Below are 15344 nucleotides of genomic sequence, written 5' to 3' on the forward strand. Positions count from 1 at the left end.
GAGCCCGGGAGGTGGAAGTTGCAGTGAGCCGAGATTGTGCCATTGCACTCCAGCCTGGGCGACAGAGTGAGACTTGTCTCAAAAAAATAAAATAAAAACAAATTAGTTGGGCGTGGTGGTTCACGCTCCCAGCTACTGGGAAAGCTGAGGTGGGAAGTAATTCTTGCATCCTGTCTTCGTTTTCCTACCTGGAACTGAGTCCTGGCCTTTGCCTAAGTGAGATAATGGAAAGGAAAGGAAAGTTGGAGAATCTCAGGTCTGGACCTTAGCAGTGAATTCAGCACAATCGCAGAATGTTGAGGTAGAGGAAACTGTTGTAGAGATCAGTTGATCAGTTTTTAATCATTAAATAAAAACGTGAATGAGGCAGTGAAGTAACTTCCCCAAGGTCACACAATGGGTTGCTACAAGAAATGAGAATGAGCATTTGTCATTTCCCAGTGAGAACAGTTTCCATTGTGCCCGGACCTTCAAAGATTAACCTTCATACCAAAGTTTTTGCCTACTTGAAAATTGTATTTAAGTACATAGATCGTGTGAGTGAGTCTACTGCGGGAATGTTATATACATAATTAAAATTATCTCTATTTCACATTTATATATTTGTCCATTAAAACTTGCATAATTAAATAAATGTAAAATATAACTGAGATAATCAGACATCTGTTTTCTTTAATAAACATTAATCTTGAATAGATAATATGGTTAAATGATTTCAAAAAGATAATGTAGTTACATGATTTAAAGTTATAGCTACCGAATTGTGTGTGCAGAGAAATCTTACTCCTACCCTTGCCGCCCCTGCCACCCACTGCTGCCCTCTAGAGGTAAAGTTTTCGTGGTTTCTTTTTATCCTTCAGGCGTTTCTTCATGAGAATGTAACCAAATACAAATATATATTCTCGTTCCGTACTCCACTTTGCCTACACAAAAGGCAGCATACTGTGTACACTATCGTGTCTTTTTCTCCTGCTTTTACTTATTTATTATTATTTTAATAGAGATGAGACCTCACTATGCTGTTCAGGCTGGTCTCAAACTCCTGGGCTCAAGCGATTCTCCCACTTCAGTCTCCCAAAGTGCTAGGATTACAGGCGTGAGCGCTGCGCCCAGCCATATCCTGTTTTTTTAAAGTTTTCTGGCCAGGTGTGGTGGCCCCCGCCTGTAATCCCGACACTTTGGGAGGCCAAGCTTGGCAGATCGCTTGAGCTCAGGAGTTTAAGACCAGCCTGGGCAACATGACGAAACCCTGTCTCTACCAAAAATACAGAAAATTAGCCAGGCGTGGTGGTGTACACCTGCAGTCCTAGCCACCCGGGAGGCTGAGGTGAGAGGATCACTTGAGCCTGGGAGAAAGAGGCTGCAGTGAGCCAGGGCTGTGCCACTACACTCCAGCCTGGGTGACAGAGTGAGACTCCATCTCAAAAAACAACAAAAAAATTTTTTTTTGGCCTAGAGATAATCCCATATACTTGTATATGCTTAGAGATCTTTTTTTTTTCTTTTTTCTTTTTTTGAGACGGAGTCTCTCTGTCACCCAGGGTGGAGTGCAATGGCGCAATCTCGGCTCAGTGCAACCTCTGCCTCTTGGGTTCAAGCAGTTCTCCTGTCTCAGCTTGCCTAGTAGCTGGGACCACAGGAGCCCACCACCACGCCCGGCTAAATTTTTTATATTTTTAGTAGAGATGGGGTTTTACCATGTTGGCCAGGCTGGTCTCGAACTCCTGACTTCAAGTGATCTGCCCACCTCTGCCTCCCGAAGTGCTGGGATTATAGGCGTGGGCCACTGCGCCCGGCCACCGGCTAATTTTTTTATATTTTTAATAGATATGGGGTTTTACCATGTTGGCCAGGCTGGTCTCAAACTCCTGACTTCAGGTGATCTGCCCACCTCTGCCTCCCGAAGTGCTGGGATTACAGGCGGGGACCGCTGTGCCCGGCCACCGTTTTAGTTTTTACACTGAAATTATTCATGCTGCTTCTGTCTTATACTGTTGTGGGTTCTTGATTTATGGTGTTTCGGGCTTCATTTTCACACAACTTGGAATGTGCGGGTTTTCTCTGTTCCCTGGTTTCACTGAAGATGTCGTTTCTAATGAGAGATGTGTATACGTCTGTGTGCACGTGCATGTATGTGTATGCAGTTGGCATTCATTCCTGTTGCTCTGTATTGGTTTTTAGAGTGGGAAGATGTGGGGCTAGGCCATCATTATGCTCTTTCTAGAACTGGAACCTACTAGATATTAATTTTTATTTACACAAATTGTAATTTGATGCTTTAAATTGGAGAGGGAATCGGGTAAATTATTCGGCTAAATTATTAAATTGACACATCACTTTTTTTTGCAGTAGTAACGTTTTGTTAAAATGAGCGAATTTGTTATCACATTCTCAGCTTTCAGGAAGGTGAGCTGAGACAAAGCAATGCTTAGCATTTTTCTGAAACCTTTGGATGCAGTCAGGACAAGAGAGAGGTGATTGTGCCCAGCTTTATCACCTCTGGCCAGGTTTCTAGTGTTTGTGTGTGTGTGTGTGTGTTGTATTTAATTGAATGATTGCTTTGGACATTTTCTGTTTTGGGGGCAAAAGTGTTTATAGTGAAGATGGGCTGGGCTCAGTGGCTCATACCTTCAGTCCCAACACTTTGGGAGGCTGAGGCAGGAGGATCGCTGGAGACCAGGAATTCAAGATTGGCCTGGGCAACATAGTGAGACCCTGTCTCTACAGAAAACAAACAAAAAAATTATCCAGGCCTGATAGCACACTCCTCTAGTCCTGGCTACTCGGGAAGTCGAGGTGGGAGGATCACTTGAGCCCAGGAGGTCAAGGCTGCAGTGATCTGTAATCACACCAGTGCACTCCAGCCTGGGTGACAGATCAAGACCCTGTCTCAAAAAAAAAATTAAAAAGAAAAAGAAGATGGAGATGATGAAAGGATTGAAGGATACTTATTGCTTAGTCAGAAATACAGGGCTATGGGCCGGGTGCCATGGCTGACACCTGTAATCGCAGCACTTTGGGAGGTCGAGGCAGGAGGATCAGTTGCGCCCAGGAGTTAAAGATCAGCCTGGGTAGCTGTAGAGACAAAAGTAGTCTCTACAAAAAAAAATACAAAAAATAATCCAGGCGTGATCTCGTGTAACTAGTTCCACCTGCCGGGGAGGCCGAGTCGGGGGATTGCTTGAGGCCAGGAGGTCAAGGCCTGCAGTGAGCTATGATCATGCCGCTGTACTCCAACCTGGGCATTGGAGCAATACCCTGTCTCAAGGGGGAAAAAAAAAGAAAATAAACATAGGGCTATGGAAAAATATTCCTTTATTTCAGTACCCAGCTCCACTGGGCCTTTCCTTTCTCCAGTGTCTGTTAAAGCTCAGGGGGATAAGATTGCTGTTCAGGATTACTTACTCTCGAATTTCGTTGTAACCAGATCAGTGAGCCAGTGCGGAAATAGCTTTCTTATAGTGACTTCTACCTCACGGGGCATTTCACCGCAGTGCTTTCTCCTCTGTTGGGAAAGGACGCACACTCTGTGCTAGCGGGTGGAGAACTAAAGTTCATTTTGTATCCTCCCAGCACCTAATCCAGAACTTGTGCCATGTGAGGTGACCAGTACAATTAAGTCTAGCCCACAAATAGGCAGGAATTCCAAAATGTGCGTTGAAATTGTCTTGGCGGGGCACGGTGGCTCACTCCTGTAATGCCAGCACTTTGGGAAGCCGAGGCGGGTGGATCATTTGAGATCAGGAGTTCGAGACCAGCCTGGCATACATGGTGAAACCCTATCTCTATTAAAAATAGAAAAATTAGCCAGGCGTGATGGCGGGTACCTGTAATCCCAGCTACTTGGGAGACTGAGGTTGCAGTGAGTTGAGATCGCGCCACTGCCCTCCAGCTTGGGCAACACAGCGAGACCCCGTCTCAGGAAAAGAAAAAAGAAATTGTCTGATATTTATAGAATTTTCAAAGTGTGAGAAATAAAACTTCAGACATAATTCGTGCTTCATACTATATTGAATTAGATGATTTTAAAGTCTCCCGTATTTACCACTGTATTTTTGTCTGCGTATATAAGTTCCATGCACCTATACTATGGCTAACAATATTTTACTTTGACTAAAATTTGTTACACAATACTTAATTATTAGTGTTACTTATTATTGAAAGACATTAGTTGAAATTTCTTTCAGCCTGATTTCATCCATTTTCTGCCAAGAGGCAATTGTAAATTATTGGATTGACTCTTCTACATATTGTTTGTAGTTGTTAAGAAAGTACTTACTGGTAGAAGTTGAATTTTTTGTTGCCCTTATTCTCCATTGTCTGTTTAGCGAATTTTTCTCTGCGATGGCTCACTTAACCATTATAATGATAAAAATGATAGGTGTGAGTGCAAATAATTTGAGGTGCTAAGAGTCTGCTCTGAAATATCCTGTTTCGGCCGGGCATGGTGGCTTATGCCTGTAATCCCAGCACTTTGGGAGATTGAGGTGGGCGGGTCACCTGAGGTCAGGAGTTTGAGACCAGCCTGGCCAACATGGTGAAACCCTGTCTCTACTAAAAATCACAAAAATTAGCTGGGTGTGGTGGCCAGCGCCTGTAATCCTAGCTACTCGGGAGGCTGAGGCAGGAGAATCTCTTGAAATCGGGAGGCGGAGGTTGCAGTGAGCCGAGATGGCGCCGTTGCACTCCAGCCTGGGTAACAAGAGCGAGACTACGTCTCAAAAAAAAAAAAAAATCCTATTTTCCCCCTAGGTCAAAGCCAGTGATATGTAAAGCTAGCATAGAGCAAAAGAGTCTGAGAACCATGATGTTGACCTGTCTTATTAGAATGGTTTGATTTGCAGGTGACACAAAGCAGAAGATGTGTCAGAAGTTAAGTCTCTGCATTACTGCTTTGGGGTGTAATTTAATTTTTAGAAGGATTTTTACTTAGCTGTAGACTGATTTTTCTGGGGTCTCGTGGCCCCTTGCCATTCACAACATGCACTGCAACATGTTGCTATGTAGAATGCACCGGATTCTTGCCGTCCATTTGGCTCCGGGCTGTCTCTCGTCTCTTGTGCCAGATTTGCACATCTGGTCCAGAGCAGGAGTTAAGGATTGCTCTAGTAAGTGGATTAGTAGCTTTTCCTAATTACCAGATCTCACAACTAGAGTTGCGGCTGCCAGAATTGGTCGTTCACAGTTAACAATTACCTAGATGATGATGAAGTACATGGATCTAGTCATAAAAGCCTCGGTTCAAGCAGATGTCCTGCTTCCCAGCTGTGTGATTTGAGCCAGTTACGTGGTTCCTCTAACCCAGCGTTCTCACCTGTTAAAGGGTATGATAATAGTGTCTACATCCTAGGGCTGGCAGGCACTGTAGCAATGCACGTACCTGCACTCTCCTGAATGCAGTACCTGAAGCAGGGTGAGCACTCAAGAAAGGGTAGCTGTAATTCATACGTATTACAGGGCTTGATTGTTAAATATTCTGTGCTTCATGGACTCTCAGAATCCGGGGATCACAAGACTGTACTGTTACATTATGTACTGCTAAAAGGAAGTGATGGTAAGACATTAATTTACATGTTAAAATGTGAAAAAAATGTGGATCTTAGAATAGGTAAACTAAGGTAAGTCACATTTTTAAAAATTGTGGTAAAATACTACCTAACATGAAATTTACATTTGAGCAGTTTTAAGCATACAGTTCAGTGACATTAAGTCCATTAACGTTGGCGTAAGCCATCATCACCATCCATCTTCAGAACTTTTTCATCATCCCAAACCGAAACTCTTGAGCCTATTAAACACTACTCCATTCCCCACTCCCGCCATTCTCTGGTGACCCCTCTTCTACTTTCTGTCCCTGGGAATTTGTCTGTTAGGTACCTCTTAAGATTTAGCTACATTTTTATAGAAATTGAATCTATGTGATCAGCAAGATCAGATGACCACATCCTTTTCAACAAAGTTCTTAAGCAGATATGATCTCAGCAGGGGATTTTCTAGTTTAGTGGTTTTGGAGATGATAGAAGAGAGGGAGGAAGTCGGAGGGAGTGTAGCAGGGGCTTATGTATTTTTATGGTACTCTTCTGTTTTTGAATGTTTACATCTTTATTCTCTTGAATAATATAATTCATGAAGCAGGTAAAGATACAGCTTTTGTTCTATTTCTTTCCAGCCACTTAGCCCCAATACTATTTCCTGAGCAACTCATCTTTTTCTATTGATTTTAAAAAAGGTCCACTGCAGAATTTTAGACTGTTCCTTCACAAGATGCATTGTCAGAGATGAGCAGTTTTCCTTTGCTATTTTGTGTGACGCTTTGTAAATTCAGAGATAATGGAAAAGCCAAAATGTAAACACAAAAATTTCACTGTCAATAATCTGGCTCTTTTTCTATGTAAATAAGGTCTCTCAATTTTTCTCTCCATAGGAAGAACTAAACAGTTCTATTTAACCTTTTTAATTTTATGCTAAATTTATTTTACTCTAATGGCACAACCACCTCTCATTTAGTTGTGCCAGTTAAGAGTAATATTGGCAGAAGTAAATTAAATCAGTGTGTAATGTGCCCGTTTGAGTTAGGACCTTGGAAAACGCAGCAGGAATGCGAACTCAGCAGTTGGAGAAGGCAGAGACAGGGTGGCAGGTGGGAAGCCCTCCCAGCCGTGGGTACCATTTTTGTTCTCAGGGCACTCTAGGAAAGTTTTTTGAGTTGCCTTTGTGTGCTGCAAGTACCCTTGGTGAGCTGCCCACATGAGGTTGACTTCTGCCTTTTAGAGCCAATCACTAAGGCAAAGTCAAATTCCATAAATCTGTTATTTCACAAAATGAGGCATATTTTACAGTTTTAACATTCTTCAGCTCCATCAACATTTGTGTAAAGAGTGATGGCAAATACATGCTCTTATGGTGGCATTTCTTATTTTCTGCTTGAGACACGCTCATTTCCCCCCCTTTACTTTTAATCTTCCTGTTTCCTTGACACACCTGCTTCCGAACCCCATTGTCATCTCTCCCCGCTGTGACAGTTCACCAGCACTTCATGGTACTGGAGACTCTTTCAACTTGCCTTTTCCACCAACTGTCAGTTGCAAAATAAGGTTGCTTTGTTTGGGAGGGAGAGGGTGGAATCCTTTCTGAATGTCTCCTGTTCCTTTGAAGCAGGAGCACTTCAGAGACAACTGAACTGCTTTTAGGTTTTTCTTACCACCCAGCTTTTTCTTCTGATTGATCCTGCCGTGAACACACGGTTCTGTTGATGACATCGATTTGTTGCTATGGAAATAGTGGTAATGTCACAGATTCAACCCAGTGACTTTACTGCAGGTTGTTGCAGGAGAAATGGGCAAGGCTTTAGGGGAGAACCTCATTAACACTGAAGGCTATCAATTCTAAGCAGGTGAAAGGTAGATGGAGCCAACCTTTTGTGTAATGAAAACAAAAAGTGAACCCCTAGCAAATTCACCGAGTGCCATGGAATGCCTCAGCACGAATTCTAATCCATGGGAGTCTTTGACAAAATAAAAAATTTACACTTTCCCAGAGCATTCCTTCTACCCAAGTTTAAATCTCTTAACCCAAATCCTTTGCACTAAAACGGGGTTTCCCTTTTGATCTTCAGGACTCGGGCAGCCGCAAGTAGCTCCTCCAGCGCCAGCAGCCAGCCCAGCAGCAAGCAGCAGGCCCCAGCCGCAGAATGGAAGCTCGGGAATGGGTGAGATGCCTCACGGGGCGTGCGCTGACCAGGGGTGTCAGACTTCGGAATCATGTTTTGAAGTTGAATCTGGGACTAAAGGGAGTTTTCCAAATGCCATTCATTACAGGGTTGTGTCTTGGAAAGAATAATTCTGATTCATATTTTAGAGTATGTGATTGAAAAAATAATTAAAGATTGTCTTTTTTTTTTTTTTTTTTTTTGGAAGTAGGGTCTTGCTCTGTCAGCGGGGCTGGAGTGCAGTGGAAGCATCACAGCTCGTTGCAGCCTTAACCTCCCAAGTAGCTGGTACTATGGGCGCATGCCACCATGCCTGGCTAATTTTTTTGTAGAAATGGTGTCTTACTATGTTGCCCTGGCTGGTCTCAAACTGCCCTGGCCTCAAGCAGTCCTCCGTCCTTGGCCTCCCAAAGTGCTGGGATTATAAGTGTGAGCCAGGGTGTCCAGCCAAAGATAATCTTAAAGATACTTAACAGCCAGACTTTTAAAAAAGATCAAATTGATACATTCTTCTCTGTTAGTAGTTGACCAAGTAGTTTCTTCGTTTCCCACATCATCAGGTTTTACACCCTCTGACTTTGCATTCCTTTTAAGTTCTTGCCTTTTAACTATCCAGGACCCACTTACTAAGTTTGGCTCATCTCTCTCCGAGTTTCCTATTTTGGGCCTCGTGGGTGTTTATCGTTTGCTTGAAGACAGTATTACTTATATTGGTCATAGGTTCTCCTTCTCAATTTCATGGATGAGAAATGGTTTCTTCATTTACTTTTCTCTGCAGCAGGTCCTAAGAGGCATTAATGGAATCATTTTGTTTACTTTCTGGCCTTTACTTTAGGAACCTCTTGATCTGGGAAGTCACCGTTGAAAATTTGGATTTGTAGAATGTGGTTGGATTTATTTTTAGAGGTCCTTTTTTCTGTCACGGCTTCACATACACCTCCTCTCCTCCCCTCAACTATTAGTTTCTATTTTTCAGTGCTAAGATTCTGAGAAAAGCAAGGTTAAGATGTCACTGATGTTTCTGTGAAACTCTCAGGACTTTCCCCCTTGCCCTTTGTTGTTTTTAATCTACCTTGCACGATCCGTCTACCTCTCTCGCTCTTGCACGTTCTCTCTCTTGCTCTGTCTCTCCTTTTATAAGAGGATCTATTTATACACAACTCAAAAATTACATGCTGTTGGCCAGGCTTGGTGGCTCACGCTTATAATCCCAGCACTCTGGGAGGCCGAGGTGGACGGATCACTTGAGGTCAGGAGTTCGAGACTAGCTAGCCTGGCCAACATGGTGAAAACCCATCTCTACTAAAAGTACAAAAATTAATCGGGCATGGTGGTGTGCACCTGTAGTCCCAGCTACTCGAGAGGCTGAGGCATGAGAATCATTTGAACCCAGGAGGCGTAGGTTGCAGTGAGCCAAGTTTGCGCCAGTGCCCTCTAGCCTGGACAACAAAGTGAGACTCTGTCTCAAAAAAAAAAAAAAAAAAAAATATATATATATATATATATACACACACACACACACACACACACACACACACTTTTGAAGAGAGTGGTGAAATAGACTCTCTAAAGTGGTAAATAATCATTTCCTTAGGCTTATATACAAATAGTACGTTATTCCTCTCCCTCCCTCCACAGAATTATTTTTCTGGTTGTCTATCTTTGCCTTATGTTAAAATATATTTTTAAAAATCTGGGCTGGGCACAGTGGCTCACACCTGTAATCCCAGCACTTTGGGAGGCCAGGGCAGGAGGATTGCTTGAGCCCAGCAGTTTGACACCAGCCAAACATAGTGAGACCCGATCCCTCTAAAAAAATCTTTTTAAGAATCAGCTGGGCGTGGTGGTGCACACCTATAGTCCCAGCTACTCAAGAAGCTGAAGTGGGAGGATCGTTTGAGCTCAGGAGTTTGAGGCTGCAGCGAGCTAAGATCGTGCCACCTGCACTCCAGCCTGGGGGACAGAGCAAGACCTTGTCTCAAAAAAATGAAAATCAGTTAATGTTCCCTAAACTATGTAGTGAAAGGAAATGAACTGGATGTGTACTGAGGAGAAGCTACCCAGCATGAAATAGATTGGATGAATGGATGCTTGTGTGTGTTTTATAAAATTATATATTATGTATGGGTATACACATGTATTCTACAAAGTACCTGTGTGTCCTTACACGATCTTGAGGTAATTACTATTGTGTGTGTATTGATCTCTCTCGACTCCCCAGTTAGAAAATTTCAACACAGAAACACTCCTATGTATATTTTTTACTAATTACTACGAATGCCTAGAAGGGTGTGGCACATGCCGTGGAAACCCAGTAAATAAATACTGGATAGATGGTGTATTGATATTTTTAGCCAAATTCTATTCTGAAGAAATGTTTTGATGTAGAGGGTATGAAATCACTGAACTAAATTATATTTTCTGAATTTGGACGTTGAGTTTTGCAGATACGTGGTGCGTATAAAAGAACTCACCTGATTCCCTGTTCTTTCCCAGCGCAGGGCAGCTGCTTAGGTTTGGATTAAGGAGGCGGAAGGGTCTTAGTGGTCACCCACTTAACATATCTTGACCAAAAACTGATTCCTGCCCTTTGCACCCGACGAAACTCATTCTTACAGACTTCATTCTAGACTTGCTAGTCCTTCAGACGCATTGAGATCTGGGAGTTGTCTGGGGATTTGGAGGCGATCTATTTGTGATAGGTCCCTTACATCCTGTCTTTCTTCATGTGACTAGTGCCTTGCCATCAGTTTTACCAGTTACAAAAGTTGATTTTCTTTTTCTCACCCATTATCTTGCCCGTTGAGGCAAGAGAAGTGTTTAAGAGGGCGGCCTTCAGAAACAGCAGTGTCTGGATTCGTCACCATTATTACTTTGACCTCGGGGCTGACATCAGCAAACATAGCAGTGAGCTGCTGTGTGCGCAGCCTTCATCCTAGATTGCTTTTGTAGCCTCCAGCCTCAGTCTCTATTTGATCTGCGTATCTCTTGCATATAAAAAGGAAAAGCTTTGCCTCTCATGTTATATGATTTCACTAGTGGCACCTCCAAAATTTAGAGTTATTGTAAAGCTTACTATAAAAAAGCTAAGTAGAATAGTAATAACTCCTTTTCGTTTGCGTTTGTTTTTAAAGGTTCTACTGTTTCTAAGGCTTATGGTGCTTCAAAGACATTTGGAAAAGCTGCAGGTCCCAGCCTGTCACACACTTCTGGGGGAACACAGTCCAAAGTGGTGCCCATTGCCAGCCTCACTCCTTACCAGTCCAAGTGAGTTGTTGCATAGAGTAAGTTCAGAGTGTACTTATGAAATCGGAGAAGCTATTATGGACTCTTGAGTTATTTATGCGTGAACTTCAGGGTCACCACCAAATACCACCAAATAGAATGGGTTTACTCTTTTTTTTTTTTTTTTTTGCTGAGGAGGAAAGGGGTACAAATTGTGGCAAACTTTTAACTCTTGTTGGAAAATATAGTAACAATAGCAATCTGCCATAGCCTGTGGGGTTTCATTCATTTTGAAAGAATTTGAAATTAAAAATACTTAATGCTTAATCAGTTGATAGTCTTATGAGTAAAAATAAATATTTCTGATAATTCAAAAGGCATTTAATCTTCTCCTATAAACAGGTGACTTCGTCTTTGGTTTAGTTGGCTAAAATAATCTGCACTATTTGTATTAAACACATGAACATACCCTGAACATAAATTTCTTTTATATGACTTTTTTCCACCAAAAATTAATTTGAAGCCGGGCGCGGTGGCTCATGCCCGTAATCCCCGCACTTTAGGAGGCTGAGGCGGGTGGATCACCTGAGGTCGGGAGTTTGAGACCAGCCTGGCCAACATGGTGAAACCGTGTCTCTACTAAAAATACAAAAATTAGCCAGGTGTTGTGGAGCACGCCTGTAATCCCCGCTACTCAGGAGGCTGAGGCAGAAGAATCGCTTGAACCCAGGAGGCGGAGGTTGCAGTGAGCCAAGATTGTGCCACTGCCTTCCAGCCTGAGTAACAGAGTGAGATTCCGTCTCTCAAGATAAATAAACAAAATAAAGTAATTTGAATAGTTAAAAATTAGAGTTCTTTTTTCAGAATCCTTCCAGATATGTTTATATTTATTCTTCAATACTCTGTAACGTAGGAAAGATATTTTTCCCTGTGAAATTATAAGTGGGGTACCTAATGTGCCCTGTGCCTCCTTTTTCCATGCTTCTCTCTAAGGTCATGCTGCTTCAGTGTGTTCTTCCTGATGGTCCACCAACATCGTGTATTCTATTCAGGGTGTGTTACGAATGAGACAGAAGTGTAACACCAGTTATATCAGTTCCCATAATTGAAAACTGTGGCAAAATATAATTGCTGGTGTTACTGTATTTTCCAGCTTAGAACCTTTCATTAAGGGGATATGGTTGCCTTGGTGATGCTTTTTGGAGAAGGGAGAGAGTTTATAAATTTACTTATTTGACAGGAGAATGAGTTAGTATTAAATCACTTTGCATGTTTTACTATTTGCTTATTCTGTAAACTGTCAAACCCATGTGTCATCTTGGGGTTTTAATTAGCTGGATTAAAATACAGGTTGGAAAACGGAATATGCGTAAGACGAGAAAGGCTGTAGGAAGATGATTTCTTACTTGATCTTTTCCAAGGAAGACCCCATACACTAATATGATCGATTTGGTTTGTAGGTGGACCATTTGTGCTCGTGTTACCAACAAAAGTCAGATCCGTACCTGGAGCAACTCCCGAGGGGAAGGGAAGCTTTTCTCCCTAGAACTGGTTGACGAAAGTGTGAGTGTTTGTCATGCTGGGGAGTGAGGGCAGTGGGCTCGCCGGGAAACAGAAGGCTCAGCTCTGCGGAGGGCAGTGGGCTCGCTGGGAAACAGAAGGCTCAGCTCTGCGGAGGGCAGTGGGCTCGCCGAGAAACAGAAGGCTCAGCTCTGCGGGCCTATGAGGTGAAGAATAATAGTAGGCCAGAGAGAAGCATGATTGTTATTGTGCTTTTCCCTCTGTCATAGTCTTTTGATGCTGTCTGGAGTAGAGGGTTAAGGTCATAAATAAAATCTTTGATCTTAAATGACAGCGTTTGTAGCAGTAGAAAGTAGTTTTCTAAATATATAAGTAGCCTCCTGGGCAGGAGAAGCTGGAAACAGTCTGATTTGCTGGCAGGTGTACTGGAAGCACTGGGAGGTGATGCCTGCTTGTGAGCGCCGTGGAGCTTTGGGACACAGCAGAAGGCACACAGTTGTGACCTCGATATGGGAGTGGTTTTGTGGGAAATGGGTTCTGACTGTGCAGATTCTCTATTTGCTTTATTTAAACTAAACAAAACCATGACGATGAGACAAAATTCCTATGCCATGGAAGTACGACAGTCTTGATAGCTGTTAATCAGTCCATTCGTTTTGCTAATAATTCCTGAAATTGCCGGGTGTGGTGGCTCACGCCTGTAATCCCAACACTTTGGGAGGCCAGGGTGCACAGATCACTTGAGGTCAGGAGTTCGAGACCAGCCTGGCCAACATAGTGAAACCCCGTTTATACTAAAAATACAAAAATTAGCTGGGTATGGTGGCAGGTGCCTGTAGTCCCAGCTACTTGGGAGGCTGAGGCAGGAGAATCAATCGCCTGAACCAAGGAGGTGGAGGTTGGAGCCAGCCAAGATTGCACCACTGCACTCCAGCCTGGGCGACAGAGTGAGACTCCATCTCAAAAATAATAATAATTCCTAAAATGTACTTCAGCATTCTTTTCAAAGTGCTGCAGATTTCCTGTTTGTTCAGACTCCCAAATAGGGAGAAAAAAATAGATGTTTTTTTTGGAAGTTGATATAACACCCAAAATGTTTGTGTGATGGCAGAATCAATATTAGAACCTAATTTTTTTTTAGAAATTATTGCTCTAATGTATGGTGGTTGGCTAAAATTTCTTGTCCACTTGTAAATTTTGGCTGACAGAAAAGCAAAAGTGAAAATCAGATCACAAGCAACTTGCAAACATGACTTACTCTGACATTTTTGGCAATGGCTCCGAATGTGAAGTGGTTTGTCACTGAGAGGGCACTGTGGAGGGAGCCGGTGAATCACCCCGTGGCAGCACCTTCCTCGTGGGCTCTGGGCGTGTCCCTCAGTATTCAACTTTTTTTGTTTTTATTGTCAGAATAAATTAAACTCGTCATTGCCGTTTTGTTCTGTTCTGTTTCTCAGTTGAGGCTAATGCAGCATGATTATGGGATCGGCTAGCTGAAATTCTCATTCTTCAGCGGGGCCAGTGACTTCAGTGTGTGACTGTAAAATGCGGGTTCCTGGGATGTCCGTAGCCCTCTCTGGACCCTGTTTGTGCAAGGGCCACTGCTCTCAAGATGTCACTTTGGTGCTAGGGTGGCCTGTGTTCTATCCCAGTGTCACTTGGGTGCTGGGGTGGCCTGTGTTCAATCCCGCAGCCCTAACCTGCCCACGTGCTTCTGCAGGGTGAAATCCGAGCTACAGCTTTCAATGAGCAAGTGGACAAGTTCTTTCCTCTTATTGAAGTGAACAAGGTATGGCCGTGCTGACTTTAGAACTGACACCGCCTGGGGGTGGAGTGCGGATGAAAAGACGCTGGCCCAGGGGAGGGGTGTGTGGTGGCAGACTAGGGGTTTCTGTCCGATTTGATGGTAGTCTCAGGTTCTGTGGCTTGGCCTCCTTCGCAGGTGTATTATTTCTCGAAAGGCACCCTGAAGATTGCTAACAAGCAGTTCACAGCTGTTAAAAATGACTACGAGATGACCTTCAATAACGAGACTTCCGTCATGCCCTGTGAGGACGACCATCATTTACCTACGGTTCAGTTTGATTTCACGGGGATTGATGACCTCGAGAACAAGTCGAAAGACTCACTTGTAGGTAAGCTCGTGTATGAGAAGGAAGAGCAGGGATGACTAGCTTTCTTTGCAGTGTACGGGGTGGTGTCAGGCTTCAGTGCTTGCCGTTCATCATTTGCTGGCGTCGGAATGGGAGTCTTGACCACCTCCTGCTAACACGTGCATGTGTTTTAGACATCATCGGGATCTGCAAGAGCTATGAAGACGCCACTAAAATCACAGTGAGGTCTAACAACAGAGAAGTTGCCAAGAGGAATATCTACTTGATGGACACATCCGGGAAGGTGGTGACTGCTACACTGTGGGGGGAAGATGTAAGTGCTGGGATGGGGTCTTCAACACGCACAGGACCTCCTGGGGTTGGGGCGTGGTCTTGTCCTATAGGATGGGGCCTTCAGCACACACAGGAGGAGCTCCTGGAGTTGGGGGAGGGAGTGGTCTTATCCTATAGGATGGGGCCTTCAGCACACACAGGAGGAGCTCCAGGAGTTGGCGGAGGGGGCATCTTGTCCTATAGGATGGGGCCTTCAGCACACACAGGAGGAGCTCCTGGAGTTGAGGGAGGGAGGGGTCTTGTCCTATAGGATGGGGCCTTCAGCACACACAGGAGGAGCTCCTGGAGCTGGCGGAGGGGGCGTCTGTTCCTATAGGATGGGGCCTTCAGCACACACAGGAGGAGCTCCTGGGGTTGGGGGAGGGAGGGGTCTTGTCCTATAGGATGGGGCCTTCAGCACACACAGGAGGAGCTCCTGGGGTTGGCGGAGGGGGCGTCTTGTC

At 43.8% G+C, this 15344-nt stretch overlaps 1 protein-coding gene across 3 annotated transcripts in view; it reads left to right on the forward strand.

Moving 5' to 3' along the window:
• The window catches only part of RPA1 (replication protein A1), a 70078-nt gene that overhangs the window by 34814 nt on the left and 19920 nt on the right, over window positions 1–15344 (forward strand). For all 3 annotated transcript variants that reach the window (NM_001355120.2, NM_002945.5, NM_001355121.2), the window contains exons 6-11: window positions 7616–7708; window positions 10843–10975; window positions 12394–12496; window positions 14175–14243; window positions 14397–14589; window positions 14742–14881. In NM_001355120.2, the coding sequence (NP_001342049.1) occupies window positions 7616–7708; window positions 10843–10975; window positions 12394–12496; window positions 14175–14243; window positions 14397–14589; window positions 14742–14881 (731 nt within the window). The remainder of the gene's footprint in view (window positions 1–7615; window positions 7709–10842; window positions 10976–12393; window positions 12497–14174; window positions 14244–14396; window positions 14590–14741; window positions 14882–15344) is intronic.

Source organism: Homo sapiens, chromosome 17, assembly GCF_000001405.40.
Source record: "Homo sapiens chromosome 17, GRCh38.p14 Primary Assembly".
In the NCBI taxonomy this organism is placed as follows: domain Eukaryota; kingdom Metazoa; phylum Chordata; class Mammalia; order Primates; family Hominidae; genus Homo; species Homo sapiens.